Source organism: Homo sapiens, chromosome 7 (assembly GCF_000001405.40).
Source record: "Homo sapiens chromosome 7, GRCh38.p14 Primary Assembly".
Taxonomy (NCBI): domain Eukaryota; kingdom Metazoa; phylum Chordata; class Mammalia; order Primates; family Hominidae; genus Homo; species Homo sapiens.
In genome coordinates this window covers 112,351,270-112,357,269 of record NC_000007.14, presented here as the reverse complement: position 1 = coordinate 112,357,269, position 6,000 = coordinate 112,351,270, and positions in this window count along the sequence as shown.

Sequence of the window (6,000 nt, the reverse complement as noted above, 5' to 3'; positions counted from 1 at the left end):
CAGGCTTTGATATCAGATCTACTGCCTAGACATGAGGATTTCTAATTCTAGGCTAACATGAAGTTTAGATAATCTTCATTTTGGCGTGTTGCATGCTGCCAGATCATTTTTACCCCCTCAACTTTGAAAGTTAATCATCTGAGTTGACTCATATAAATTTGCTGTTTTTGTAGGCTTCAAATGCTAAAAATAAAGTAATTTTACAGAGGTCAACCTGAGCACAAGCCCACGATTATTGTGTGCACCTTAGCTTGTTTTAATAACTTAACCTGGGTTGTTTCAGGAGCTGAGGATAATAATATGCTATTGAAAGAGGAATTTCACTAACCGAGACATTTAAAAAACAAGATTAACAATGTCATTGGTTTCAAGAGAGATTAAAAAAAACTACGTTGTCACTTTCCAAGGAAAGGAAGAGTGTGCAAAGATAAAGCTATCCTAGAAATTAATGAGCCAGACTTCTCTCCAGAGCTTAAGCCATTCCTTGATTGTAAGACAAAAATAACTATTTCATTAGTGTCTTAGAATTTCACTGGTAAAGGAGATTCTAAGTTTCACCCTGAGGTTTGTGATTATCCATTTGTTACTGGATTACCACTAAACTCTCTTGTGGCCTGCCTCTTCATGGCACATCCAAAAAGAACACAGTTAGCTACAGAAGCCTCAACAACAGATTTTTATTGAGGAACATTTTTTCTTAGTCACAATGAATTTTATTAGAAAGAATAATCTCAAAATAAACTAATATGGTTAAAATTTCACACTGAAGAATTTATTAGAGATTTTATAAAAGATCAAATTGTTTTGATAAAATTTAGACCTACAAATATATGTCCAGAAAAATTGGATTTAATAGAAACAGTGGTCACGATAGAAAATTCACAAAGGCAGAAGTTTTATAATGGATACAATTTTTTAGATGAGATGTATTAAATCCTTCCTGTATAATATATACAAAACAAAATTACATTTTTTGGAAAATAATGTTAGTAAAATAAAAATAAAAGTAAAAAGTATTAGAAACACATTTACTAGACGGGATAGGAAAATGATCAGGGAGTTAAACTGGCTTAATGGAACTCACTTCAGAAAATTTATTACGTCTGCACTCATAAACATGGAGTCCAAGGAGGCCAGGACTGAAACACCCACCCTGTAGGAAAGGTCAAGTCCACACTGTGGGGACAGAATGCCTCTGGTTCCCACTAGGAGGAAGAATCCTGAATCCATTAGAACTCAGGCACAGGTGTGGAGACTCCCTGGCTGAATCTACTCAGACTCCACTGCCTACCATTTGAGAGAGCCATGCCTAGGCATTGCCCACTTTTCTAGGCGTCCTTGCAGTTCCCTTCAAAGTGGGTGACTCCCCAGCCCAGGTTCCTTTGTTTACATGACTTTCCCTGCCTAGCAGGTCTTCCCATGTTTTGATTGCTGCCCTTCCTTCAAGACTCAGGTTCTGTGACCCCTTGCTGCCTCCCATGTGGCCTCCATCCTCTGCAACCCAGACCTTCCTCTCCTCATCAACTCCTCTGGCCAAAGTCACCCATGAACTCCTTGTAGCTCCTTTCAGCCAAGGGCGAGCCCCATAAAGGAACACAGCTGGTGGCCATTAACAGCCTATACCAGGCCAGCTAGGGAAAGAGTGTCTCATTTCTGAAGGAGGGAGCTGGGCAGTTTCCACCATATGCCTCAAACTCAGCAGGACCAAACCAAACTCATTTGGTCCTGACCATTCTTCTTACAAATTTTTTCCTGATGGTCACTGCCTCATTTGAAGTTCTCATGACCTCCTGACCACGTTAATCTACCAATCTTCTTGATCACCTTGGCCTAATCCAGTTCATCCTTCACACAATCACCAGTTAGCTAATTGTTTTTTTTTTTTTTCACCGTGTGTGTACTTTTTAAAATTGTGGTAAAGTATACATAGCATAACATTTACATTTTGAATAGGCAAATGATCTGAACAGATATTTCTCAAAGAAGGCATACTAATGGTCAACAAATATATGAACAAAGCTCAACATTACATCATCAGGGAAATGCAAATCAAAACCACAGTGCTGTATCATCTCACCCCTGTTAGGATGGCTGTTACCAAAAAGACAAAAAATAACAAATGCTGGCAAAGATGCAGAGAAAAGAGAGCATTTACACATTGTTGGTAGGAATGTAAACTAGCACAGCCACTATGGGGAGCAGTATGGAGGCTCCTCAAAAAAATGACAAATAAAACTACTATATGGGCCAGGTGCAGTGGTGGCCCACGCCTGTAATCCCAGCACTTTGGGAGGCCAAGGCAGGTGGATCACTTGAGGTCAGGAGTTCAAGACCAGCCTGGTCAACATGGTGAAACTCCATTTCTACTAAAAATACAAAAATTAGCCAGGTGTGGTGGCAGGCGCCTGTAATCCCAGCTTCTCGGGAGGCTGAGGTAGGAGAATGGCTTGAACCCGGGAGGCGGAGGCTGCAGTGAGCTGAGATTGTGCCCCTGCACTCCAGCCTGGGTGACAGAGTGAGACTCCGTCTCAAAAACAGAAACAAACAAACAAACAAAAAAACTACTATATGATCCAGCAATTGCACAACTAAGAATTTATCCGAAGGAAAGGAAATCATTCTACTGAAGAGACATCTGCACCCCCGTGTTTACTGCAGCACTATTCAGAACAGCCAAGATATGGAATCAACCTAGGTGTCTAACAACAGATGAATGAAGAAAATGTGATGTATATGCTCAATGGGATACTATTCAGCCATAAAAAAGAATGAAATCCTGTTATTGTGGCAACATGGATGGCACTGGAGGACATTATGTTAAGGGAAATAAGCCAGGCATAGAAAGTTAAACACCTAATGTTCTCACTCATATATGGAAGCAAAAAAAGTTGATCTTCTAAAGTGTAGAACAGGCTGGGCATTGTGGATCATGCCTGTAATCCCAGCACTTTGGGAGGCTGAGGCTGGTAGATCACCTGAGGTCAGGAGTTCAAGACCAGCCTGGCCAACATGGTGAAACCCCATCTCTACTAAAAATACAAAAAATTAGCCGGGCGTGGTGGCGGGCACCTGTAATCCCAGCTACTCAGGAGGTTGACGCAGGAAGATCACTGGAACCCAGGAGGTAGAGGCTGCAGTGAGCTGAGATTGTGCCACTCCACTCCAGCCTGGGTGACAGAGCAAGACTCTGTCTCAAAAGCAAAACAAAACAAAACCCGAAAACCAAAACACGAGCAAACAAACACACAAAAAAGAAATAAAATGTAGAACAGAGAACAGTAGTGGGTGGGAAGAGTATAAGAAAGGGAGGGATAGATAGGTTTGCTAAAGTATACATAATTACAGCCGGATAGGAATAAGTACTAGTGTTCTATATCACCGTAGGATGACTATAGGTAACAATAATTACAGTTTCAAATAGCTAGCATATTCAACATTCCCAACACAAAGAAATGATAAATGTTTGAGATGATGGGTATGCTAATTACCCTGATCTGATCACTATACATTATATGTATTGAAAAATCACTATGTACCCCATGAATATGTAGAATTATTATTTGTCAGATAAAAAATTAAATAAAAAACACTTTAAAAATTTACCATTTTGATCAGTTTTGAATGTATAACTCACTGGTATTAATTACATTCACAACGTTATGTATCCATCACTACTATCTATTTCCAGAATTTTTTCATTACCCAAAACAGAAACTCTGTAACCATTAAGCATTAACTCCTCATTCCCCATCCTCCATCCCCCAGCCCCTGGTAATCATCTATTTTCTGCTTCCAGAGGAATGTTTTTAAGGAAGTCACCTGCACACCATGCCTTGTTCAACAAAATATCCTCAAAGTCTTCTTCGCCTCTCCCATGCTGAATGCTCTGCCCTTTCTCTGACCCCTTCAGTCTCTCTCCAGTCTCTTCACTGCCTTGCTGGTCTCTCTCACTCCCACCTTGTCCCCATGTATCACTCAGCACCAGCTTCCAGCACGCCACCTTCTAGATCCCACACAGCAAAGTGCAGTCTGGCTCCTTACCTGGCTTTTGATTCATGGGCAGCACCCTTCTGGGACTCTTGTGAATCAAATTCTCCCAACCCCATGAGATGGCCCCACAAATCTATTGTATAATAGAGGGGAGATGAAGAAGAGACCAAATGCAATGTTTGCTTATGGCACACAAGACTATTTCCAGCTGATAGCCTGACATTCCCCTGTCTTCTTTTCTTTGGGGTTGCTAAATTTGAAACCGCATTGGCAGCAGACCTATTAGTTTAGACATATACAGTGGACTGGGTAAGTATGGGGTGATAGTTAAGCTGAGACCTGGATGATAGGAAGACATTACTGTAAAGAGGAGGGGCAAGAATATACAGAGAGAAAAACATGCAAAAACACTGAGGCAGAGAAAAGTGCAGTCTCCTGTCCAAGGAGCAGAAGGAGGCCTGGTTGCCTGGGGAATAGTGGGCACTCCAGAAAATGGCATGGGACAAGATGGAAGATATGTGGGTCATGTAGAGGCCGGGCATAGTGGTTCATACCTGTAATCCCAGCATTTTAGGAGGCCAAGATGGGTGGATCACTTGAGGCCAGGAGTTCGAGACCAGCCTGGCCAACATGGCGAAATCCAGTCTCTATCAAAATTACAAAAATTAGCTCAGCATGGTTGCGCATGCCTGTAATCCCAGCTACTCAGGAGGCTGAAGTGGGACAATCGCTTGAATCAGGGAGATGGAGGTTGCAGTGAGCCGAGATCGCACCACTGCACTCCAGCCTGGATAACACAGCGAGACTCTGTCTCAAAAAAGAAGAAAAAGAAAGTTTAGACTTGATTCCATGTTCAACTGGAAGCCATTTGTATCAGCTGGGAAGCTTTTATTGTGAGTAATAGAAACTCCACTTAAAAAGTTCAAATAATACAAGGGGAGTTTATGGCCCGACTAAATGAGAAATCCAGAGGAGGACAGCTCTCAGGTGAGGGCTCTGGCTCCTTCCTCAGAAATTATCTTGATTTTGCTCTTCTCTGAAAGTTCTTGGGCTAGTTTCTCTCAACGCCACTTGACGGCTTTGGCAGCAACTAGGGTACGGGTTTGTTTTTTCATAAGGAAAGGGAGTCTTAGTTTCTCTGAGTCATTTAGCAGAAATCTTCAGCTTCTCCCTGATTGGAGCAACCTGGACTGGCCACAGTGACCCAGGCTTGCTATGCACCTTTGACTTGGGTTTAGTTACTGCCCATCTCTAATCCAATAAGCCAGTCTGCAGTGAGGGTGAAGTTATTACTCTAGTCAGCACTCCCCTCCCCCTGGAGGTAGGGCTGGGGTCAATTCCAAATGGCATGGCTGTTACTTAATGAGGGTAGAGTGGCTCCCCAAAGAATTGGAAAACTATAAGGAAAGAAAGAAAGGAGAATGGATGCTGGGTAAGTAACCGAGAAGGTCCGTTACACCATGTGAGGATTTTTTTTTTTTTTTTTGAGATGGAGTCTCACTCTGTCACCCAGGCTGGAGTGCAGTGGCACAATCTCAATTCACTGCAGCCTCCACCTCCGGGGTTCAAGTGATCCTCCCACCTCTGCCTCTCAAGTAGCTGGGATTACAAGTGTGCACCACCATGCCCAGCTAATTTTATTATTTTTGGTAGAGACGGGGTTTCACCATGTTGGCCAGGCTGGTCTCCAACTCCATGGGAGGACTTTTAAAAATCCACTCTAGCTGTTACGAAGGAACACACTGGAGGGTCCAGAGAGGAAGGAGGGAGGCCAGTTAGGAAACTGTTATAGTAGTTCAGATAACAGACCATGGTGGCAGGGACTGAGATGTGTTTGGAGATAGAACTGAAAGGACTTGGTGACTGACCTGACGAGGGAGGAGGCAGTTTTGGCAGACTGTGAGGAGTCTCAAATGCCAGTCTTTGGAGTTTTTGTCTTTTAGGCAATGATGGAGGTGTAAGAGTGGGTTGTTTTTTTTGTGACAGTAAGAGATTAATAATGTTTGCTTT